The sequence below is a fragment of the Homo sapiens genome, chromosome 11 (assembly GCF_000001405.40).
Source record: "Homo sapiens chromosome 11, GRCh38.p14 Primary Assembly".
Classification (NCBI taxonomy): Eukaryota; Metazoa; Chordata; class Mammalia; order Primates; family Hominidae; genus Homo; species Homo sapiens.
The window spans coordinates 11,416,728-11,441,847 of NC_000011.10; the positions used below are offsets into that span (position 1 = coordinate 11,416,728).

Genomic DNA, 25,120 nt, shown 5'->3' on the forward strand with positions numbered 1-25,120 from the left:
TCCACAACCATCCCCCAGGGTAGCAGGTCACAGGCAGTGCAGGAAGAGGAAGCCACACAGGGGAAGGGAATTAGGGAAGCTAGGGCAGCGTGGCGAGCCATGGCACCTCAAAATGATAGCAGCCCAAACCCTGAGCCAACCCATGAATAGGACTGAGCCCTGCCCCATCCCCTCCCCCAGCCCTTGCTCCTGGGCAGAGTCCTGCTGAGATGAGCCCCACCTGACTGACAAGCTGTCCTAAGTGACCCTTCCTCTATGTGACTCCTCTGCAGCCTGGTCGGCTTTCTCAGGCACTGGCCACATCTATTCCTACTCCTGACTTGGACCAGGGAACCTGATTCAAGTTCCTTCCAATGTCTCAAGATTCAGGGAAGTGACTCACCCAGGATGGCATCTGAGTCTACAACCCAGGGACAGAATCCACACCACCATTGCAAAACCATGCGCCTTTCTGAAACGGCTGCTCAGCTCAGAAGGGGCCTCCCTGAATCAGTGGAACTAAACCATATAGCCAACGATGATGCCCTCAAATTGTGCACACAGTGAAGGAAAGTTGCACAGAGGAGTGGCTAATTCAGCCTATCTGGAGTGGCTACTTTCTGAGAAGTGAAGAACAAGTAATTATGAGAGAGACGGAGAGAAAGGAGGAAAGAGTGCAAGAGGGGGTTTTCAACAGGGATGCCTGAGATAAAAAGCATTTCAAGAGAAGCTTCTGCTTCTCAAAGTGGGAGTCAATATGGCAGAAGCTGCAGACAGACAGACTAGGGCCATATCTGACCTGCCCATGTGTCTTGTTCAGCCCACCAAGCATAAAAGTGTGAATCTCCAACTTGAGAAAACTTGCCAGTCCTGCAGGCCAGCAATAGGCTGGAGACAGTGCTGGCTGCCCCTCTCAGGAGGGCTTGGGCTCATTCTTTTGTTCACCAGTTTCCACCACTCCTTATTGCCTTGCATCGGCCCACATCCCATATTCACACTGTCTAGCCTTGTTAGGCAACTGAGTTTAGGACCCCTGAGCATAGAACAAGGTTAAGGACTCAGTCTCTGCAGCTGGATCCAACTAGGGCTCAAATGCTGGGTCTGCCATTCCCAGCTGTGTAACCTGCAGCTTCTCTGAGCCTCAGCGTTCTCATCTGTGAAATGAACATGGTATTAATAATACTAAGATGTATCTCCTATGAATGTCCTTAGGGAAAAATGAGCTAACACATGAAAGATGCTTAGCTAAAACAAATAGCTCTTGTCTGTATTCACTTAGGTTAATATACCAGCCTGAAGGCGGGGTGTATATACCTGCGAGGAAGACATGTATTCTGATGATAGAACTACTAAATGGCTCTGTGCTCAGCCATGCATTGTTTAAGGAAGAGGAGTGCTGCCTTCCCCTATGACTTTGAAAACTCTTCTATCCCCATGTTTCTGTCTCTGTTTCCCTTCAGTCCTCAGAGTCATTCACTGAGCCCTCATGGGGCATACAGCATCGGGTGAGGCTTTGTAGGAAAGAGAGAAGAAGGAATCAAAGAAGTTGTCTCTATTTAGGATTAAGTTACTGCTGAATCTCAGTTTCCTCATCTATGAGATGGGGAGAAATACTGAAAAAATTAAAGAAGCCATGTGTAAATATGCCTGGCACAGTGCTTGGAACACAGCAGGTACCTAATAAATTATCATGTTGATTCCTTCCCTAATTAAGACGATTCAAAAACAAAGGCAGGTTCTGTCTTTTTCCATCATCATCTCCATTTACCCAAATCCATTCAATCACCAAGGCCCAGTTCAAATGCCAGCTTTTCCAGGAAGCCCTCCCAGAGTGACTGAGATCTCTCCTCTGGGCTTCTCCAGCACAGTTTCCCTTCACCTGTGGCTCATGGCACTCAGCACTTTGCTTTGTGTGCTTTGCTTATTTGAGTGTTATCATCTGCACTCGGCTGCCAGCTCGCTGGGGACAGAAACACTTTCTCATCGGTCTTTGGATTGGTGTGCTGAGCGTGATGGCTGACACTTGAGAATGCACTCTGTGAATGTCTGTTGAATGAATGAGTCCAGCTAGCAAAGCACTGGACCAGGGTTGGTCTCTAGGCATTGCCATGAATTAGGTGTGTGATGTTGGGAAACTCACTTAACTTCTCTGGATCGCAGTTTTCTCTCCAGTCAAATGAGGATGTTGGATTAGTTTTTAGGGCTGCCTGCCCCAAACTGCCCAATGCCCCTTAAGGGAAGCCCATTAGAGTGGGAGGGACCTACACAGTGAACCAGGTCACTACCCTAGTTGTAGGTCAGGTGCTCAGTGGAGAACCACCTGAGCCACTGGAGAAGGCCACTGGAAGTCACAGTATGGGCACCGGCGATGGAAAACACAAAGAGAATCACATATCTCTGCACGCAGGCCATGCCCTCTTTGGTTGGCTACAAATCAAGTCTCTACTCTAGCAGCACAGAAGGGGTCAGAGTCAGCCATGGGGCCATCCAGAAAAACTAGCCTTCTGTTAGTGGTTGCTGGTAAAAACCCTTCCTGCTCACTAGTCAGACATTTCTTTGTTTTGTGCTTTTTTTCTGTTTCAATCCTTTATTAGAAACCATGCAAAGTGGCCAGGCATGGTGGCTCACGCCTGTAATCTCAGCACTCTGGGAGGCCAAGGTGGGTGGATCACTTGAGGTCAGGAGTTCAAGACCAGCCTGGCCAACATGGCGAAACCTTGTCTCTACTAAAAATACAAAAATTAGCCAGGCATGGTAGCGCACGCCTGTAATCCCAGCTACTCAGGAGGCTGAGGCATGAGAATTGCTTGAACCCAGGAGGCAGAGGTTGCAGTGAGCTGAGATCATGCCACTGCACTCTAGCCTGGGCAACAAAGCAAGATCCTGTCTCAAAAAAAAAAAAAAAAAAAAAAAAAAGAAAGAAGGAAAAGAAACCATGCAAACTTTAACATAAAAAATACAAGTGCAGTAAGAATCTTTGTGTCAATATGATTATCAGGATTTCTCTCATGGCAGCCACCCCAAGACCAGGCCTAACTAGAACACCCTGCTGCAGGCTGCCTTTACGTCTCCTCCCTAAAATTCTACTTATGCCATAAGCTCTTGGGACATGAGCTCCTAAAATCAACCATAACCTGGGCACAGTCTGCATCTGTGCCAAATGAGGGCTGGAACACCTGTCTACTTGCCTGCTATCATTCTCTGACGGCAGGAACAACATCTGGTTCCCTGCTGCCTCCCTCTTGCAGAGCCTTGGGCCTGGTACTCAATTTGTTAAATGAATGCATGACTGTAAGAGCAGAAGGGGTGCAAGTCCCTGTGGGCTTGAGCAGAGAGGAGAGACAGTTCCTGAAAAAAATTGAATTGGTTTCCCAATTTAGGTCTCCTGAGAGTCGATTAGGACTCTCATTTTTGAAAGAAGAAAAAAAAAAACAGAACAAACAAACCTCCCTCACCAAAACTGGCTTCCCAGTCACCACGGGAGAGAGCAGATTTCTGTTGCTATGCAGCACAGGGGAGCCCATACCTGCTGTGGGACCCTCAGACCCAGTCATTTGCACCAGCTTCCCCAACTCCTAGTGCTGTCTCTAGCACCACCTCCCGCCCTCACCATCCAACAAGGAGGTGCTCATCTTCCGAAAGATAATTATGCAGGACAGATATGGGCAGCAGCTGGGGTGGCTACAGCACTTAACTCTCATCCGCATGCTCCACTTTTTGCCGAGCACTGAGACTCTGAAGCTACTGGAGGCCACTTGGGTCACTGCATGGTTTGGGGCAGCCTTTCAGGAAATCAATTCCACCAGAAGTTATTCCATACTCCAAAGATTTAATGTCAGTAGGGAGCATTTGATTTGTTGAGTTTTTAACTGTTTTAACTATTCAGGAAAGCAGAAGGAGGACCCTGGCATACAAGGAGTGCCCTGTGTTCAGCTGTAACTATTGTCTGCACCTGATTTTGTCTTTTCAAGCTGCTGAGAAAGATAGGCTGGGTGCCAAGAATGAACAAGGAGACCTTTCCTGCTGGCTGCACTGTGGCCCTAAGTAATGTTCCCTGGCCCTTTCTAGGGACAGCTTGATCCCAGTGGCTGGCAACAGGGCCCCTCAGAGGGCAGGAGAAACCCCTCCTGATTTACTCCCAACACTCAGCTCCAGTTTGGGGACTTTCCCTGTTGACAGATGATCACACAGCTGACCAGGGGAAGAAGGCCTTTTTTTTTTGTATTTGATTCCTGCCAGCTTCATTTATCAAAAACTGGTCACCTTGGCTAGTCCGTAAAGCAAAATGGTACAGAGCCCTCTTGCTGTAGATTGCTACAGGGAGCTCATGAGCAAAAAGAAGGAAGGTCCTTTGCCCTCCCAGGTGCTGTCCTTCGTCAGCAGGGTAGCATGCTGGGGAGTTCCTGATTCTCTAAGACAGTTTCCTGTATCGAGTAAAGGGGACAAGAGGAGTGATGAGCTACCCACACCACTGCCAGGCTCAGGCAGCTTCAGCGGTGCAGCATGTTGGGACCTCAGCAGAGAGGCCGGTGAGAGCAGAGAAGAGGCTGGCAACATGCAGGACTAGAGCTGGAGAAATGGATTGAGCCCTGGGGCTGGTCCACAAAGAGGCGGGTGACTCAAGAGCTGATATACTTAGGCATCACTAAGGATGCTCATTTCAGGAGGAGCTTATCGGTGGGAAGTCCCAGCCCCCATGATGTAGGAAGCCAGGTGGATCGAACCGTGGAAGCAGAGCCCCAGTTTGGTGTACAGGGAACAGAGTCTAGCCCCTCAAGGAAGAGGATTGACCAGGGCTAGCTGGGAAGCTGGGGCCCAGCTAAGGGGATGAGGCAGGCATCAGAGCAAGATTCCATTCCATCAGAGAACAGCAAGTTGACAGGAAACAGAGGCAGGCCAAACGCAGGACCAATGCAGAGAAGGTTGGGGAAAGCTGGGGTTGCTGGCCAGCAGGTACAGGGAAGTCATCCCAGGCTGCTGCACTGCTGTTAAGTCAAGGCCACCCACTGGGAAGAAACAATACTTCTCTGCAGAGTCTCTGCAGAGTCTCTGCAGAGGTCAGGACTGGCCACGCTGCTAGCACACAGCATCTTGATGTACTTGGCCAAAAGGTGCCTTCTCTGGACTATGCAGTTAGAAAAGGCACTTTGGAGACAGACTCACACCAGGATGCATAATTTAGCAAATAGACAGCACAGACTTTATTTTAGCCCCTACGTGCCCCTGGCCTGGGTGCCCTGGCATAGAATCATGCATGGCAGCTGAGAGGTAGGTTCAGAAATGGACACAGTTGAATCAGTTGAATCTGTCAGATATCTATATCATCTATATCTATATCATCTATATCTATATCTATATCTATGAGAGAAACTTTACTTCCATAGAAAGTGGCCAAAGCAGGGCCCAGGCCTGGGGTCAGGGCTTGAATCAACAGGGAGAGATGGGCATTCAATACTCAGAGTAGCCAGAAACTCAAGAGTCATATAAGTCATTACAGTAAGAGCTTGGGAAAGTGCTGCTGGACACCACCAGAGGAGATGTAGCAGTGGCCATGCCCAAGAGGAACTCTCAGGCCTGGTATAGGATGTGGCAGGCAGAGGCAACCTCAGGCAGCAAGGAGCAACAATAGGAGAACCCAGGACTCAGGTGGTACTGGGTGGTGTGCACCCCAAGGTTGCCAGGTATTTGCTGCCAGTCTTGAGGGTGAGCCAGCCTAGTTGCACTGGTCAAAGCCATAGAGGCAGGCAGTGGCAAAGAGCCTTTGGCTGAACGGGCTGACAGCCCATGTGCTTGGCTGTGTAAACACCTTTAAGCTGCCTGAGTCTTGGTTGTAATTTGATTAGCTACATGGGATTCTTTAAGCTCCATAAAGCACAATACTGTTGGACCATTCTTTTCCTCTGTTTTTTTTGTTGTTTTTTTTTTTTTAACTTTTGCAATTATTCCAGCTGCATGCAAAGCTGTTGGTAGTTTTACAGCCTGGAATGAGTATCTCTTGTGTAGGACAGAATCTTTGAAACATTAAACAATGATTAGGCAGACTCTGGGCCAAGGGATAATGGGGGTTCTGCAGGGGGTGGGGAAGGACCCAGCAGCTGGTGGCAAGCAATCTGGGGAGCTCTGTTTCTATTTCATCACTACATTGACTTTCTTACCAACAATTAAAAATAACAATGATTCACAGTTGTGCAATTATTTGTCATTCATCAGGATTTTGAAGGTGGCTCCAGGTAGCAGTGGGTGGTGAAAGAGGCTCAACCCATTGTTAGTGGGGACTGAAACACCACTGTTCACACAAGCACACACAAGCCCACGTGCCCATGTGCCTGTATATGCTGCTTATGCATGCACACTACTGCGTAAGTGCGCACACACAGGTCCGCATCCACCCACAAGCACACTCACACACAGACACACAATACACACACAAACACAGTGCTCACATGGATGCATTAACACATACATGTGTGCACACATGCACACACACACTTGTATGCATGAATATGAACACATGGATATGCATGCAAGGCATGCACACAAACACATGTGTTATATGTATGTAACACGATACACATGTACACAAACGTATGTGTGCATACATGAACAGAGTACTTGCATATACATGTATAAAGATGTGCAGACATACACATGCACATACATGCACACTCACACAGGCATGCCAATTTCTCCCTATTTCAGAGAGAATAGGAAGCTGCCTCCCTCTCACAAGGTGACCTAAAGCATGGCTGCCAACTGTTCAATTACCTCTCACCCAACAGAAGCCAGAAAGCCTCTATGCAACCCATCTCTCCTTCTTACTGAAACCCCAGGCAAAGCTCCAGGCAAAGCTTGAGGCTAGGACACAGACACACCCTTCTCTGAAGTTCCCTTTTTGTCTCCTACTTCACTGGTCCTGCTGCCCAACATCTCTCTCTCTCCAGAGGGAATGGAGAAAAGGGATAAGGACAAAATTCAAATAAGTTGTTTGGAATCAGAGACCCATGGTGTACCAGAGGCAAGCAGCCTGTTTAATGGTAAAGGGTGTAGACGCTGAAACCAAACAGTCAAATCGCACCTCTGTAACTCTGGACAAATTCCTTAACTTCGCTGGGTCTGCCTCCCTGTTACATCAGGTGACATTGGTAATGGTCCATACCACCATCATATGGCACTGATTAATTTATGGTGAAGTACTTAAAATAGCTCTGGCACATACTAAGCGCTCAATGAGCTGGGGGCGCCTGGTCAGGACTCTTTCTATCTAGGGGCACTGGGGGTCACTTGAGTCTCAGGCCCAGGCCTGGAGAAGTGGGGGTCAAACTCCAGCCCGGGCCAGTGGCAGCTAGCTGAGTGGTGCCCAGCTGGAAGCCTGAACACCAGCCTGGGAAACCCTTCCTGGCCAAGCCTGCCTGCTGCCCCCAACAAAGTAGATGCAGGACCCCAGCCATCACCTGCACCCAAGAAAGGACCAGGGAGGCTCACCTACGTTGGACCTGCCATTTTAGTGCATGTGGCGGCTGTCCTGGCTCTGGTCTGCCCTCCCTAAGAAGCAATGGGGTGGGCTGGCTGTCAGGAGAGAACCAGAGAGGAGGTGCCCAAGTTGATGCCTCCCAGGCTTCCAGGAGTGGGAGAGTAGAGGAGATACAAGGTCCAGGGCCAGCGGGCCTGGATTTGAATTCCTGTCCTAGCACTTCCTGGCTATGTGGCCTTGAGCCTGTCCCTTTTTTCTTTTTTAGACCCTCTGAGACTTAGCTGCCTCATCTATGAAGTGGAGATGGTGACCACATCTACCTCCCTGGGAGATCATGACTATTCTTTTGTCAACAAAATTGACAGAATGACTACGATGAGCGGCACACTGGGTTAGTTGTTGTTGGGGTCTGGAGATGACCAGGATCATGTTCCTGTCACACTGGTCACCTTGGCTAGTCTGACCTAAACTACTCACTGTAATTTAGTCAGTCAATAACCAGGTAAAACACAGCAGGATAAGGAGGAGCCAGGGTGCGTGGGAGCACTGAGGCCAACCTCCTAATCCAGCTGGGGCGGTGCTAGGGGCAGAACCATGGAGGAGTTTCTGGAAACAGTGGTAGTAACGCTGACTTTGGAAGTCTGGAGCTAAGCAAAGTGGGTGGGGTAGCGGAGGACATTCATTCCCAGCAAAGGAACAAACCAGGATGGTCTGGCTATGGGCCACCATGCCCACAGATAGTGCAGACAAGCAGGAAGAAGTGCATGCTGGACAAAGCGATGAGACTGCCTGTGCGGGAGGATGTGGTCTTCTGTGGGAGTCAGAAGACCCAGGGCCCTAGCTCAGCTCTGCCATGCAAAGAAGTGGCACACTGGCAGGTTTCTGCCCAATGTAGGTCCGCAGTTTCCTCCCAAGAGCCAGCTAGGATTAATTGGCTGACCTTGGGTTCTGCCCATCTGACACTGTTGTTGGGAGGGACAGTTTCCTTCTGCCCATCTCTTGAGGCCCGCTGAGTTGTATGCCTTCTCCTGGCAACAGATATGGGAGGTTTCTAGCAAACATGGCCAGCATGAAGACCGGGTCCGTGAGCAAAGGAGATCCCTGGTCTGGGAGAGACAGAAGATTCCATCCAGCCTTCAAGCACATGAAGGGCTGGGAACCAGCCATTGCCTTGCTTGAAAGCAGCAGCAGGAGACAAGTGATGGGCTGGATTCAGGTTGGGCAAGGCACTGCCAACCCAGAGCAGACAGACATCTCCAGGGTATGGGATTCTTAAAAGAATATTTGATATTACCATTGCTTTGATGTGCTTTTAATCACAAATTCAAATTAACTTTGAAATTTCAAGTGGCATGAAAGAAGGGTATGTGATTTTTATGTTTATCAAAAGAGGACAGGAGTTCAAAAAGGAAGCAGAAACTGACTACAGCAAAGAAAACTTTTTTTTTTTCCCCAGAAGTGGAAGTGGCTGAATTGTGGGATGGGGCGAGGGAACAGCTGGGACAGCTGGAGAGGGAACCTGAAAGAGTTCACGTTCACTGGGCACTTGCTCTGTGCCAGGTACTGGAATACCTGTGTCACATGAACAAGCCCCCAAAGTGCTTAGCCAGGCACTCAGCACAAAACACGTGGCCACCAAAAACCTGTTGAAGGACTGAAAGAACGAAGCAATGAATGCCAAGAGTCAAAGGCAGAGATGCCTCTATTGACTGAAAATCCTGTTGCTTCTCTCCCTCTGGAAGTCTGTAGAGGTTGAATCATGCAGTCCCAGCTAAAGACATTGGTCCATTGGGATTTGCTGAAAAGTCTGGTAACTGAAACCAGCAGGCTCAGAGCTGTGCTCCCACCATTTTCTTGATTTGACAAGGAAGATGAGGAGGGGAGGGGAAACATGGCCTTCGAGCTGCAGAGCAGGCAGAGCCTGGTCGCTACTGTCAGGAATGCTTGCAGAGGTTGGGTAACGTGGTCGCAGGGAGGCTCAGGGTTGATCATCTGACTCTGAGGATGGGAAGTGAGTTCAGGCCAGGAAAAGAAACTTACCTTCTCCTCTGCACTCCACCCCACATTCATGCCATATCCCTGGGATGCAACAGGGAAGCCCCAAGGACCCCGGCCCAGGAAGAAACACTCCACCCAGTGGTGCCTGCAGCCAGAGGCTAGCTCTGGGGGAGCTGAGGCGGAGGCAGCTGTCCCAGGCTCCTCAGCTGCAGCACAGATGGAGGACAACAATTAGAACAGTGACTCACAAAGAATCAGAGTGCCCTGGAGCCATGCTAAAATGCAGGTTTCAGGCCTTGCCCCAGATCTACAGATTCAAAATTCTTTCATTAAATCCATATTTATTGAACAACTACAAATACCAGGCACTATTCTAGGTGCTGGAGATGCTTCACGTGGCAAAATAAATGCCCCTGTCTTCATGGAGCTTACACACTGGGGGAGGGAAATGTGCAAATAATTAGGAGAGAGTAAATGAGTGAGCACAGTATGTCAGAAGGCAGTTGGAGATACAGAGGAAAAGAAACAAGGGGTGGGGTGAGGAGTGACAGGGAGGAGTGCTGCCCTTTAAACGGAGTGATTCACTGACCTCCCTAGTGGGAAGGAGGCATTTGAGTAAAGGCCTAAAGAGGAAAAGGAGCAAGCTGTGCAGATATGGAGCAGGGTAGAGGGGAGGGGGTAGAAAGAACATTCCAGGTGGAGAAAACAGCAAGGGCAAATGTCCTGAGGCAGTGGCATGCCTGGTATGAATCTCCATATTATTCAAAAAATAAAATTTTAATAATATACAGACGGGGTCTTGCTATGTTGTACAGGCTGGCCTTGAACTCCTGGGCTCAAGTGATCCTCCTGCCTTGGCCTACCAAAGTGCTGGGATTACAGGCATGAGCCACCACACACTGCCAAATGTCCATATTTTTAACCAAACTCAAATGCTAAAGTTTGAGACTGCTGCAGCAGAGTGACAGCATGATAGATCGGAGCCAGCCCCTGAAAAAGTGGAGCTTGTTGAGAAAGTTGCTAAGGAGACAGAGAACAGGGATTCAGGCTCCTACATAACGGCCACTTACAGAGCCTTCAGTCCCTGGCTTCTGAGCGAGAGCTAAAGGTCTAGAGAGGCTTGGAAGAAGAAAGCAGTGATTGACTGCCCTGTTCCTTTGCCCTGTTCCTCAGTTCCTGTGTTTGAGGAAGCACAGGCCTGACCCAAAGCAAAGGTGTGGCCAAAGAGAGCTTGGGGAGACACGAGGCGCCAGCATGCACGGAACCAGTAATAGAAGCCTGGGAAGGAAGGCTTAGTGAGGAAGACATTCCGACGGCTCTGCTCGGCTGAGTAATTTAGAGTTTTAAACACCAACATCCCTTCCATTGTGTTATCTCATTCAAGCCTCCCAACAACCCCTGAGGTGGGAATTATACATCTCAATTTTACAGATAAGGAAAATAGGGTTCGCAGAGGTTAAGAACACACAGGTAGCACAAAGTCAGAAAGAGCTGGAATGGAAAAGCTGGCCGAATGCCAAATTCTGCGCTCTTCCCACCAAAACAGCTGTCTTTCAACAGTGGCTACTTGTCAGCTGTTGTCATGATTATTGTTCCTGCTGTTATTTTTATCACTGTCATTTTAAGTCACCCTTGGCACCCAGAAGCTTACAGGGAACTTTCACTCCGATTCCCCCACCTCATCCCCAGTGCCTCTGTGAGGCAGACAGGGCAAGGCAGGGCCTGATGTCCCCATCGTGGCACATGAGAAAACCTAAGCCCAGAGACCCATGGCCAGAAAGCAGCAGAACCGAGCCTGGAAACCAAGTCCTAGAACATTTCATCCCCACTTTAGACTTATCTGCCAAACTCCCCATGGCAGGGACTAGGTCTGATCCATCACCCTCTTCCTTCCGTTAGCCCAGGCTGGTACTACAGAAATCTTAGTTGAACCGAGCTGAGTTGGCCTGATTTGAAAAACATGAAAGTCTTGCACTGAGAGGCCCAAGAGAAGCAGCTCCCCGCGTGGAGTCTGCACAGGGTCTGGCCATAGCCGCTTTCCTCCAAGTCAGGCTGAGATCCGAAGGGCCTTTAGCCATGTCCTAAGGCTAGAGAGGGGCCACGTCCTCCAGGAGCTCACTCTAGTGTCTCTTCTTCCCCTTTTGAGGGTTCAGCTCAGCCTGGGGTCAAGGAACCCCATTCCTGGTTACCTCCCTGTCCCATTCCACATGGGAACTCTAGCCAGGGCCAGGCCCCTTCCCACCATGTCTGGCCTCCGCTCTGGCCCTGTTGGCCATCAGGCCACTGAGCCTGCTGCTGCGCTTGACTCTGGGTACCCATCACCACAGCCACATTGCCTCCTGCTGCCTCCCTGTTCCCTCACAGGGCAGGAGAAAGACAAGTCCTTTATTTTCGGAGGCAACTCTTGCTTCTGTGCCCTGGATCCCATCTTCCTCCTCAGAGGCCCTGCTCCAAACTCTGGCCTCAGGTGCCCACCTCCCCAGACCCATTAAATCACTAGCAGTAAAACCTGGGCCCTGAATTTCTTTAAAGCCCTCCAAGTGATTCTAATATGCACTCAGGGTCTCAAGAACAACCTACCTTTAAGAAAAGAGAACTAGAACACAATAAAATACAATAGAATTGAATTGAACAGAATATAATAGAAAATAGCAGAGTGCTTTGCACATTGTGAGGGTAAGTATTGTTTCTTAAAAGTCGTGTTCCCATCGTGTGTGTATGGGTGTGAGTGGGTGTGTCATCCTGGGTCATGATGTAACTTTATTTCTTACTGTAGAGGATGGTAATTTTTAATTTTTATTTTTGGAAAACATTGCTCCAGTTCCTGCCTGAGCTTGTGATTCTCCTCTACAGTCAAGAATCCTCGAGGAAAAATCTCCCCTCACTGCCTGCTCTTTATCTTCATCTGGCTTCGACAGCCCCCATCTCCAACATTCCACTAAAGCTTCTCGCTGAGGTTTCCCAGGTCTGTCCCTTCCACACCCAGTGGCTTCTGCTCAGGTTCCTTGTCCTTCCACCTGTCTGTGGTTTCATGTGAATAGACAGTTCTCTTATTCCTGAAATTCTCTCTGCCCACGGAGACTGTGCTGTCTTCCAGATTCTCCCGAGCATTCCTCCTCTCTCACCTGCTAACGCTCTTCCTCCCGATGCCTACATATCTTACCCTCAGTATTCTCTCAAGCTTCTAACTTTCGGTTCTTTCCTCTGCCCTTTTGACCTCCTCTCCTTCCAGTCAATGGCTTTAATTACTCCACGCGTGAGACTCCAAATCCGTATTCCCACATTTCCCCTCTGGGGCTCCCGCCGTGCAGTTTGCTGGCTTATGTGCTTGCCTCCTGGAAATGGGGTAGAACTCAGGGAGGGTAATAGTGACAGGGATCAATTCACAGTCACACATGATGTGACCACTGCAGGCAGGTGAGGCAAGCAAAGGAGGATTTATCATCTCCATTTTCCAGAGAGAGAGAGAAAGAGACGCTGAGAGGCTGAGGGACTTTTCCGTGGTCAGTTATCATCCATGGTGGAGAGGGTTCCAGAATCTATGACTTCAGGCTTTAGTCCAGAGCTCTGGCCCTTCACACCATGCACTGGACACCAAATATGTTCAAAAGTGAAGCCACACGTTATTCCTGAAACTAAAGCTTCTCTAACAGAGCTGTGAATCATTAGGAATGCTTTTTAAGACCAGTCTCAGTGGCTCACACCTGTAATCCCAACAATTTGGGAGGGCGAGGCAGGAGGATTGCTTGAGTCCAGGAGTTTGAGACCTGGCTACCCAACGTAGTGAGACTCCATCTCTACAAAAATTACAAAACATTAGCCCGGCATGGTGGATGCACCTGTCGTCCCAGCTACTCGGGAGGCTAAGATGGGAGGATTGCTTGAGCCTGGGAGCCTGGGAGCTGTGATCGTGCCACTGCATTCCAGCCTGGGCAACAGAGCAAGACCCTGTCTCAAAAAAAACCAAAATAAAAAAAAGAATGCTTTTTAAAACAGCGATGTCTAGAACCCTCTTTGAACTCACTGAACCAGAATCTCCTAGGAGAGCTTTTTGTTTGTTTTAACTTAATATTTTGAAGTAATTATAGATTCACAAAAGTGTACAAGAAGGTTTCATATGCCCCTCACCCAGTATTCCCCAATGGTAACATTGTACACAACCACAGCACAATATCAAAACCAGGCCACTGACATGGCTACCATCCACAGAGCTTGTTCGGATCTCTCCTTACATAGGCAGGCACTGGTTTGGGTGTGCATATACAGCTCGATGCAGTTGTGATGACAAGTACAGCTTTGTGTAACCAACACCACAATCAAGATACTTTACTGAACCATCACCACAATGCTCTAGAGCTTTGGTTGTGAAAGGTCTAGGGTGCTGCTCGTCTGCATCCCTGATGACGGACTACTGCACCAGGGCATTGCTCCTGCTGCCTGCCTCTTCTGGGGCAATGCATTGCCATCCTCTGAATCACCCTGGCTTGAAACTCTGAGCCATCATTGACCTCCCCTCTGTTGGCCCGCCTGCCCATGGCTTCTCAGCCAAATGGTCCAACAGATTTTTCCTTCATAATACCTCTCAGGCCTATAACTTCTCCCTGACTCCAGGCCTCTTGACTTCTCTCTCTACTGCTGCAATAGCCTTCTCATCCATTTCCCTTCTTCAAGATGCCCTTTTCCCCCGCCAATATAATAAAGCATGACCAAATTCCTCCATTGCCCAACTCTGACCCCATCATTCCTCTGACCAAAAGCTTTAGATAGTTATTGCCATTTACAAAATAGAGTTCAAACTCTTTAAGTTCAAATAGGAAATCCTCTATATCTGATTCACTTTCCTTATCTAAATTTCTCAGACTCAATATCAGCTTTGTCCATATGACTTAGAGTCCAAATGGCATCCTTAAGGACATGAAAAGGTTCTCACTACAGGGAAGAAATGAAAGGCTCCGAGATTTCTTCCTCCTAGTGCTCCATACTCTTCTCTCTTATTATGTGAGGAGTTCAGCCTCTTGCTTGGGGAATGTTTTCATCCTTGAATGCTGGTTCTTCCATCCTGTGCCTCCTTACAATGTAAGACGTGAGGAGGATCAGCAGGCCTAGGTGAAGTCCAGGGATAGAGTGTGTGGGGCAGGCTAGTCAGGCTGTCTGGCATTAGTCACTAGGGAATGGGAGTTTTCTTAGGCGCCCGTTTTTTGGGTCCCAGGCTAGATGATGGTAGGCAGCCATCAGAGATGGGAGCTGAGCCCTTCCTGTCTCCCCCATGATAGACAATTACCTTTAAGACTATGTTGCCTATTTGCATCCTCGATGCCTTTTCCTTTCTTCATGTCCACGGAACAATGAAAGTCAAATGATTCTCCAGCAAAGCCCTTCAGAAATTTCTAAAATCCCCTTACAGCACTGCTCCCACACTTCTTACCACATGATGATAAAATGAAAATGAAGATTTGCTTTCTCAGATTAAATACATTTCAATTATCCAATGTATTTCAGCTTTAATTGACAACAAATCACAAATTGCCCATCTGAACTTCTCATTACAGCAACTGATTCACTAGGAAATTTATTACCTGACAGCAAAGAAAGCTCAAAAGATAAAACAAGCTTAGTGTTTCTATGATACAGTGACCCAGCAGTCTATTTTGAGAAATCATGCATTATCAGAAATACATTCATATAAATGGTCCTATCAAGAACACTGGTTTTTCAGCTGTCTCAAAATGTGGTCTTTCAGTCTGGAATGGTATATGATGGCATATGGGGGGGCAAAGAATCAGAGACCAAGAAATGTACACCAGGGAAAAGGGGTGGCTGGTAGTGCTGGAGAAAGAGAGTTAGTGATTTGATGGCTTCAACAAGGTGTTTGCAGGCCACCCAGGGTCTGGCTAGGGACAGATGGAACAGGGAACAGGGGATCCAGCAAAGAGGCTAGACATTCAACAAGTCTGTTGCTGTCATTGAGTTACGTGTCCACTGCCATCCCCATCATCACCACCACTACAACCTCCATCACCACCAGCACCATCATCACCACTGCCACTGCTAACATAACACCAGTGAACAATCTTCCAGGCAGAGGCTGTGGAACCCTACTAGGTGAAATGATGCATCATGGAAAAGAGTCACTGGACATGTTCACTGTGTACATGGTAGGGTAGGAGGTCAGGGCCTTCTATCTTATCTATTGCACTGGAATATGGGAGGGGAGAGTAGCCAGCCAGGAGAAAAAGCCTAAGGACCAGACCCCTCTGGGATGCAGAGGCCATGCTCAGACGGAGTGAACCTTCTGAAGCAGTGGCCACCATGAATTTCTCATCTATGCTCCAGAGAAAGAGCAGCCACAGACAGCCTTGAGCAAATGTGAACCACGACGCTGAACCATCAGCTTAGATGTCAGCCAGGAAGTAGGGCCTGGGCCCTGGGAAGCTCCGACACTCACCGTTACTGCTGTTGTCATCCACCAGAATGATCTCCTTGAGCAGATGTGGGGGCGTGCGTTCCATGGCCGAGTGGATGGAGCGCAGCAGCACTGAAAGCGCTTCATTGACGAAGATGAACACGATGCTCACCTCTGGCAGGCTGTCAGGAAATGAGAGGTTACGGCACCTGCAAAGAACAGCCAAGCGCTTAGATTTGTGACTCAGCTGGAGTCATCTCAGGAGCTGACCCAGCCCATGTCCTGGCTCCAGCTTTGCTGGAGGGCTCGGGAGTCCAGATTCTTCCAAGGGCCCCTTCTTTGATGCACTTAAGATGAGCCCTAAATGTCCAGCAGAAAGGCCCACAAGCATTGAAACCAGTTCACCCCACACCTGAGTTGAAGTTGTCAGTGACTATGCCAGCTGAACAGTAATGCCATGAGCACTTAGGACAGCACATGGCAGCTGGCAGGTAGTCCCTGATTGTTTACTGGAAGAATGATTCAATGTTTCTAAATCCAGTAGAATGGGGAATGCAACCAAAGTAAATTCGTAGTATTTCCAAAATGGTAACCAACACCTAGGTGAGGCCAGACCTCAGGCATCCAGCCTCAGGAGACAAAGACGCCTCCTCCCAGAGACTTCTGCCAAAATCTACTTCCCTTTACTCCAGAAGGCATACTGCCTGCAACTTCTCCTGCTTCTCACTCATCACAGAAATCCAGTTTCCAGAACAGGGTTGGAGCTAGAAACAGTCTCAACATGAGGAAAAGGTAGAAGGACCAGGTCCAGTCTCATTTCACAGACAGGGAGCATGAGGCTCAAAGAGGTTGAGTTCCCACCTATGGCTGCACTCTGAGTCAGCTACCATGACAGAATCCCAACTCTGGTCCTCTGACACCTGCACCAGGATCTCTCCTTGAAGCAGAAATGGCCATGAAAGAGAATGCCCCTAACTGGCCCATTTCCCCTTAGCTCTGCTGAAATCCTGAAGCCATTTGGTGGTCTCTTGAGGACTTGAGGTATTCCCCACATGAAGAGGAACACACAGTTCTGAAATCAGATCCCATGAGAGGCCAGACGATGAAAAGTGCCGTGTCTCCTGAGGGTAGTTCCCTCCTCTGCAAGCATAGTCTTTATGGGCAGGAGACCACTGCTGGTGCCCTTCCCTGCCTGATACTAAATGCTGTTCTAGAAGGCACTAAGCTCCCATTTTCTGTGTAGATGAATGAAAGAATGGGGCAGCAATCACAGCCCTGTCCCAGGCCCTGGGTTTGGAGAGGAGGGTTCCCACTGAAGGCTCCAGGGCGTTAGGGCTGGTGACCATGTTCCACTGCTCCAGAGTGGGAGGTGCAGCCAGGTCAGAACATGCAATAATGAGCATAATTGCACAGGGCTTCTGCTTGTTGGTAATTGCAGTTGCAGAAAAAAGTGTTGCAGAATAGGAATGGGCCTGCTCTTCCTTAATGAGGAAGGCTGCAGGATAACCAGCAATGAGCAATTTGGAGAAATCACCATGGGGCCCCAGCCTGCTTAAGAGCATGAGATTAATAAACTAAGATCAGCATCTCCATGGTTACCAGAAATTTACAGAAACTTTTCCCATTCTATTTCCAGCTCTCCTTCTCTCTCGCCAGAGAGGAATGGGGGAAAGAAGGAGTTGACCCTTTTCCTAAATCTACTTCGTACTTGTGATTTTAATAAAACCAAGTTAATAGATTGGTGTAGAATTCCTTTGTTCTTGCATTTAATGGAATAAATATTTATTGAGTATCTTCCACTAGGCAGGTAGTGCTACAGGCACTGAGGGTACAGCAGGAAGTGGACACAGTCCCACAGTCCCTGTCCTTATGGAGCTTATGCTTTGACAGAAAAACAGATACATACGGAAGAAAAAATACAATTTCATATAAGTGCTAAGATGAAAAGAAACTCTAGGCAAGAGAATGAGATGATGTCCTGGCAGCTGTTGTAGAAGGGGTGGTCAGGAAGGCCTCTCTGAGGAAGAGAGATTGGATCAGAAACTTAAATGGCATGCAAAAGTGAGTCGTGCAAGGGTTCTGTGGATCCAAGGAAACCAGTGCTGTGGCTGGAGAGGAGGGAACCAGCTGATTTAACCATGGTGAAAGAATGAAGGGAATAGGGAGGTGAGGGGAGGAACTTGAATGAAGGAGAAAGACTGGTATGCCTTCTGAAGCTCATCGGATCTTTTTCAATTTTTTGGAAAAGAAAAATGTGAATACAATTTTTAGAACAGCAATTAAAAGATTTATGGTTGACAGTCAAATAAGTCCTCTAGCTAGTATTTATTTATGGAGATCAAGACCAGCAGTTGGGTTTTCCCTAGGCATGGAAACTGACAGAGATGAGTATTAACACAAACACCACTTGCTAATTGCATTTAAAAAGTAATACCATCTGTGGCCAAACAAATAGTACATGAATTCTTCTTTTATATAAAGTATAATAGACAGCTCCCAAGAAGGCCAATGGATTGGCACAAGTTCACTGTCCTCCCTACTAAAACTCCACCAGCAATGAAGACTTTGCTTCTGTATCTCTCTGCACTTCCCCACGGGGTCTGCACTGCGTTCCCAGAGCCTCAGTATCCAAATTTCCAGGGTGTTCAGAGATGGGGGTTAACTACTTCCCCCTACTCTCTTCCCTTCTTACTTCTGAACGTGGTGCCCAGTCTCCCCCTTCTGAGGAGACCAATTTTAATTCCTCCCAGTAGCAGCCCTGATGGTTTGAGCTGCCAGTCTCTGGAAGCTGGTCTCCGGATGGTCTTTCTCCACGCAGAATGAAATGCTGTATTTGTATAATAAGCTAAGCCCTGCTGATCACGATTTTCACAAGAAAGACTTTTGAACATAAAGTTTTCATAAGAAAACTCATTTGAACATAGCTGAACACATTCTCTAGGGCATCACATTCGAACCTGTTTATTGTCTGCCCCTCTCTACTAGAATGAAGCCCCCTGAGAGCAGGAACTTTGCTTTTGGACTGTGCTGTCTCCCAACCTTGGACCACAGTCTGGCACTTAGTAGGCACTCCATGAATGTTTTTGGAATGAAACGAACCTAACAGCTTGCTTGTTTTATCTACGGCCTACATTTTGAGTGTCTGCCGCTGATGTCAGACTGCTCCTTTTTCTTACAAACCTCCTCCCTTGGAAGGAGAGTCAGGTCCCGGTCCTCCCGCCGACCAGCAGGCTCCTGTTCTCCCATCCTCCCTCCTCTTGCGTGAATGGCCCCAATTCCTCACATTCGCAGTCTCCAGAAGTGCTCAGTTTCTTTACACTGTAATCCCTTCAGGCCAAACGCCCTGACCTCCTTAAATCCTTCTTTTCTCTTCTCTCCTGGGACTGCTGGGGCCTCCTGGCGACAGCCATGCTGCCGCTGTGGCCTCTCTCTCGGCATCAGGAGACACCTTTCCTCAGCCTTCAGTTTCTCCACACCTGACCTAATGTGGCCCTGCGTGAGCAGAGAGGCGAGGGGTGGGCAGGGTAAGGAAGATGATATGGGGGGATCGTTTTTGGGAAAGCGTTTGAAGGGGATGAAGTCACCCAGGTGCTGTTCCCAGTTCTGCCCCACCTTGCTGTGTGACCATGAATGAGCCACCTTCCCTCTCTGCTCTATGTCTTGGTCACAGAATAAGGAAATGGGAAGAAAGGATCACTCAGATGGCTTCTCTCCACAAGATTGAGGCTCTTCTATCTTACGTTTTCCAACTTCCCCTCCCTCCCAACCCACAAATGCCACAGGACACATCCCCTTGCCACCATCGTGACTATGTAGGGTGACAAGCTCATCCCAGTTTGCCCAGGACCTTCCCAGTTTCAGCACTGAAAGTCCTAGGCACACCAGGTCAGGCGGTCCCCCATGCCTATACCACCAGCTCTGAGGGCACAGACTGGCCTTGCTCACAGCCTCCTGCCCACTGCCTCACACCATGATGCAAGCAGCAGGTCTTCCATTGGTGTTTGTTGAATAAATTCCCTTTCAGTTTCCACAAAACACACGTTCATGCCACATCATGACACGGTCTGTAGTTCGTATCTTCACCTCAACACTGAAGCAGAATGTACATTGCTGAAGGGCAGGGGCAAAAAGAGGGAAGAAGAGCATATCAAGCAAGACATCTACATCCTTCCTGGTCATGCCATCCTCATCACTGCAGACACTGAACTCAGGACAGAGGGCTTTGTGCTGTAGTCCAAGTCACCTTGAAAAGAACACGCCTCCAAGAGCTGCGTGGGAGAGGACTGCTCTGGACCCAAGCCCAGAGCTTTTGCTGCAGAGTCCAGCCACTTTCTCGGCCTGGCAACCCAGCACTGACCCAGTGGCCTTTGCTCCCAAATCTGTACTGCTAAGATGCCCTCCCAGAGCACCTGGATTTTCCAGAATTGGGCCACCCACACACTCTGCTCCAGTCCTGCCGCAGCCGGGACCCTGCCTACTCGCCCAGAGCCTCCCTCCCCTCTGCCCTGATGTCTGCCTCTGCACTTGCCTCTCTGCTCACCTCTGCAGAGAAGGGCTGAGGACACAGAGCTCTGGGAGTCACACTCTGGGACCAGCCCTTCCGTGTTTAAGCTCCTCGAGAACTCACAACTGCACGAGACCGAGCCCATGCTCATTTTGAGAACAGGCATATTCTCCTGTAAAATTAAGCCATAAAAACCTCCCTTTTTACTTTTATTCTTGTTGAAAGCTGAGCCATTTTCCACTAGAGATAAAAAAAACAAGGCATTTCTGAGAGGGGAGGGATATGGTTGTCTAATAAGCCGGAATTGATGGTCATGACAGACTCCATTCTATTGAGCTCTGCACACAGAAGGAGATGCAGGGATGGGGAGCAACAACTTAGGGGGCTTCTCTGCAGAGATCCCCCAGGACTGTTTGGAGATATGTATGAGGCAAATTTACAACAAGGGCTTCAGTGCTGTACGATCATGTGAGAGGCGGGGAAGCAGTGGAGGAATAAGTGAGGTAAAGCCCAGTTCTCGGCCACCAGATAAGACCTGGGGCGGTGGCCAAACCTCATGCGCTATAGCCAGACACCTCCGTCTTGGACTGGCAGACCCTCCCCTCTTTGACCTCAGCAAGTCTGCAAGGTCCTAGTCTATCAGAGTGAATTGTTCATAGAAGCTGCTTGACCTGGGGGTGGGGGGTGGGAAGAGTAAGCAGGCCCCTTCTAGAATGAAGATCAAAGTAGACTGTGAATTGGGGTCTGTCTGCCAAGACACACTAGGAACAGCATCCAGCTATGCCAGGGTTCTGGGAGTGGAGGTGGGGCCCACCTGACAAAGCAAGTGAGACGGTGGCACTCCAGGCAACCACTCCCCTCAGGGGATCTTCCTGGTCCTGCTTTCTCCCCAGGCTTTTCCTGGAGAGTCCCTCCTCTCTCGGCTGTAGTCAGCATACAAGGGTTCAGGCTCACTAACCCCCTGGGACATACACCCAGGGAGAGGGTCTGGCCCCAGGATCGGCACTGTCTTCTTGGCCCTCAAGGCCACCATGGCCTCACTCCAGCCTCTGTCTCCTACCTGTATGCATGGGACTAGCTTGATTATCCTCTGGCCTTACTCAGATACATCTAGCTTCTTCCAGATCTTTCCAGATTAGATTCCCAGGCCTGTCAGCTCCCAGATGGCAGGACATAATAAAACCAGAGGATGAAGGCAGTATGGAGGTTCCCATTGGCCAAGAGAACAATCAAGACTGTCCCTCCTTCTGGCTGGTATCTGTATCCCCATAGCCTCTGGGGCTAAGAGACTGCAGGGTGTTTGCTGCCCCACGCGGAATACTCAGAAATAATACTAAAAACTTCCATTTACTGTTTACCATATGCCAGAAACCATGCTGAAACTTGTTTAGATGTTTTTACTATTTTCCCCATTTTATTCCTTTCTACAATTCCGTACGGTAAACAGCATTATTATCCCCCATTTAACAGTTGAGGGAAATAGAGTCGAGATGGTAAGTTATCTTCCAGGGTTTAAACCTGGGCTCATTTGATTCCAAAGCTTGTCTTCATAACCCTGCTGAATGATGGTTTCTATATCTTCCTTTCCATACCCACCCAGAAGTGCTGACAGTGAGACAGTGGTGTTGTGTCATTGGCAACCCAGAGACCTTGAGCGAGGGGCGAAATGAAGGAGTTGTTCCCAGGCTGCCAAATCTGCATGAAGAATGAAGAGGCTGTATTCTGTCTAGCAGGACAACATGGACAAATACGATCAACACTACTGAGTCTTTGAAGCCCAACATGGTCTTCCTGTGACACTCCTGCCTCTGGGATGTACAATCCCGGTGACTCCTTGCACCGAGGCTGCTGTGTCTTCTGTTGTGTGGCATCTCCATTTGACTCACAATTAACAGGACCAGTGACTGATTTCCTGAGCCCCAAATAGCCATCAAAGAGCTAGCTGCAGGCCTATGAGGCAGCCTAGCACAGAAGCTCTGCGTAGCTGGATCTAGTAATTTTAAAGAATGACCAGTGGCCCTGTCCAGCCACTGGACAATGGAGGGGTTGAATGTAGGAGATCCTAAGAAGATGATAAGTGAGGCGCAGGGGAGCAGAAATGATGAATAGGAAGAAGGGCGTTGTCAGTGAGTGAACTGTAGACGTGGACATGAAGTCACTGTTAGAAACACAGCAGAAGTGGGGCAAAGAGGATGGCAGGCTGGAGCTGTCCAGGATGTCTTGAACCACGCTGCCTCCTCCAGAGCCTGCCTGTGTGGCTTCTCATTGTGTGATTGTGGGCCTTCATCAGCCTTCAAAAAATCCCAACCACCTGTGGTCACCTGCATAGGTTTGGTTCCTTGCTCCCTGAGAACACGTACATAACCCAGTAGAGAAAGACCAATTCCCTTCCTGGGCTGGAGTCCAGTCCCCTGTGAGACTCTCACAGATTCTGCTTTTCTTTCATGCCATGTACATGCTATTGCAACATGTTTTTATATGTGATCATTTAACAAACGTCAGTGTCTCCACTAGACTATAAGCTGTACAAGGTTAGGGCCGTGTCTGCTTTGCTCATCAGGTATCCCTAATACTGGGTATGAAGTTCAGCACAGAGTAGAAATTCAGAATGCACCTGGTGATGGGCTGAGTGAACACATGAATAAATGAACAGCAGAAAGAATTCAGGTCCATAAGGGCTCTGTGGATGGGAATTCTACCATGACCTGATGGGAATGGAATCACTGAGTTGTACATTTACTCCCTGCCTGACTGCAGCAATAAGACTAGATCATCCCACAAGCCAAAGGGGTGAAGAACAGGATGATGGAGGCAGGGTGGGGATACTAAATATATCCAGGACTTCAGAGATTTGGCAAGACACTACATCTGTCCCAGATATGGAAGAGACAATGGACATCTGCGAACTGGGAGTTCTGCAATGCAGGAGAAATCGGCCAGACCTGCATCTAAGAGCAGAATTTGGTGCAAGAATTGCTGATGAGTAAACTGCTAAGTATATGTGATCATCAAAACATCCAACTTTCATCCAGAGGCAGAAGTTCAACCATCATCCTTTCAGGTGAATTTATCAATTTAGAGAAAGGCTCTGCTATGTAAAATGTAGACGGAAAATAGGAAATCAGGAAAGAGAATCATTTACAACGTAAGCAACCAACAGGAAGCAGGGATACCATTTGTCCCTAAGACATCTTAGAAATCTGGGGAATGTGGGATCCCTGGGCTGAATGAACAGCCACCCAGGGAACAAAAGCCAGCTGGCTCTGATGGAAAAGCCACGTTAGGGACACTCTGTGTGGTGGGTTTGTCAGTGAGCAGGCCAGGCCCATAGCACCTACAGCTGAGGAAGGTGGGGCAGGGCAGATCTGCTGGGGCCGGGAAAGGCAGGTCCTGATAGATCCGCAGGGCAAGGGAAGGCGGATTCTAAGGAAGAATGGGGCAACTTTGCTCTCTAGCAAAGCCTGGCTCAGGGCTCGGCCTCTGACGCCCAGAATTCTGGGGCTGGAGAGAAATTACTCCCCCAGGGACTTCTGTGTAACCTGTCCTGCAGTGCCTGTCTGGCCCTGCTCTCATCTACTGCCAGGGCAGTGCCCTGTCCCATGTGCTCCTTGTCCACATAGCAGTCCTTCAGGTTGTTAAACTCATGAACATGTTCCCCCAAGTCTTCTTTTTTACAAATCAGAGACCCAGACAATAAAAGTGACTAAAAGTTAAATAGCAGTTCCTATGTGTCAGGCAGTGGCCCATGAGCTCTACAAACATTACACAAACTTTGCAGTACCATCCCTAATTTACAGATAGGAAAACCAAGGCACAGAGAGGCCAAGCAACTTGTTGGCGGTCACCCAGCTTATAAATGAGAGACCTGGCCTCGGAAAGTGGGGAACCAGGTTTTAACTACTACTCTATAATCTAAACAGAAATTTCACCTGTTTGTCATACTACCGAATTTCTCTTCTGGGTTGTCCTCCTGTAAATACTTCACTTTCTCAACATCTCTTAAAACCCAATTCTGCAGTTGTGATCTGAGCAGCAGAGTAGAACAAAGCTATCACCTCCCTCTTTTAAAACATTATACTTCTATTAATATAGCTCAAGATTACATTTCAAGAATAACATTATACTCTTGGCCCACAACGAAATTAATATTAACCAGAACCAGAGGTATTTTCCCAAAGTACTTTAGTTAAAGAGTAATTCCCCTTTGTTTGTACAGTTAGTGTGTTCAATTCAATGGCAAAATCATGATTAAGAATGTTTATTTTAACCCTTTGTCCTTAAGTTGCCTTCATGGAGAACACATTGTCCATAGACCTCTGGGTCTCCTCCACAGAGGCAAGATCCCAAACTAGGAAAGTTCACCTGGGCAGGGCTGGGCAGGGCAAGCTGATAAAATAGTGTCCTGGAATCATAAGACCCCAGTAAAAATACCGGCTCGGCCACATAGCGCCTGTGGGAATTTGAACAAATTTCCTAACCTTGTGAATGTTCGGTATTCCCCTTTATAAAATGGGAATAATAATAACAACCCCAGAGCCACATGAGGATAAAATTAAATAGGAAAGTGTATGTTAAGCATTTGTACAGAACCTGGCACACAGTAAGCGAGCAGGTGACGGCTCGTGAATCTTTCGCTCATGGTTAGCAACTCTGGGATGGTCCAGCAGTCATGGCCTACCTGCTCCTGCTGGAGCCATCTCCCTCCTCCTCCAGGGCCAGCTACAGAATTTGTGGGGCCCAGTGCAAAAGGAAAATGCAGTGCCCT

The 25,120-nt window shown here is 48.5% G+C and overlaps 1 protein-coding gene across 6 annotated transcripts in view; it reads right to left on the minus strand.

Moving 5' to 3' along the window:
* Positions 1–25,120, minus strand: part of GALNT18 (polypeptide N-acetylgalactosaminyltransferase 18) — a 351,129-nt gene that overhangs the window by 145,851 nt on the left and 180,158 nt on the right. For all 6 annotated transcript variants that reach the window (NM_001363464.2, NM_198516.3, XM_011520071.4 and 3 more), the window contains exon 3: positions 15,894–16,060. In NM_001363464.2, the coding sequence (NP_001350393.1) occupies positions 15,894–16,060 (167 nt within the window). The remainder of the gene's footprint in view (positions 1–15,893; positions 16,061–25,120) is intronic.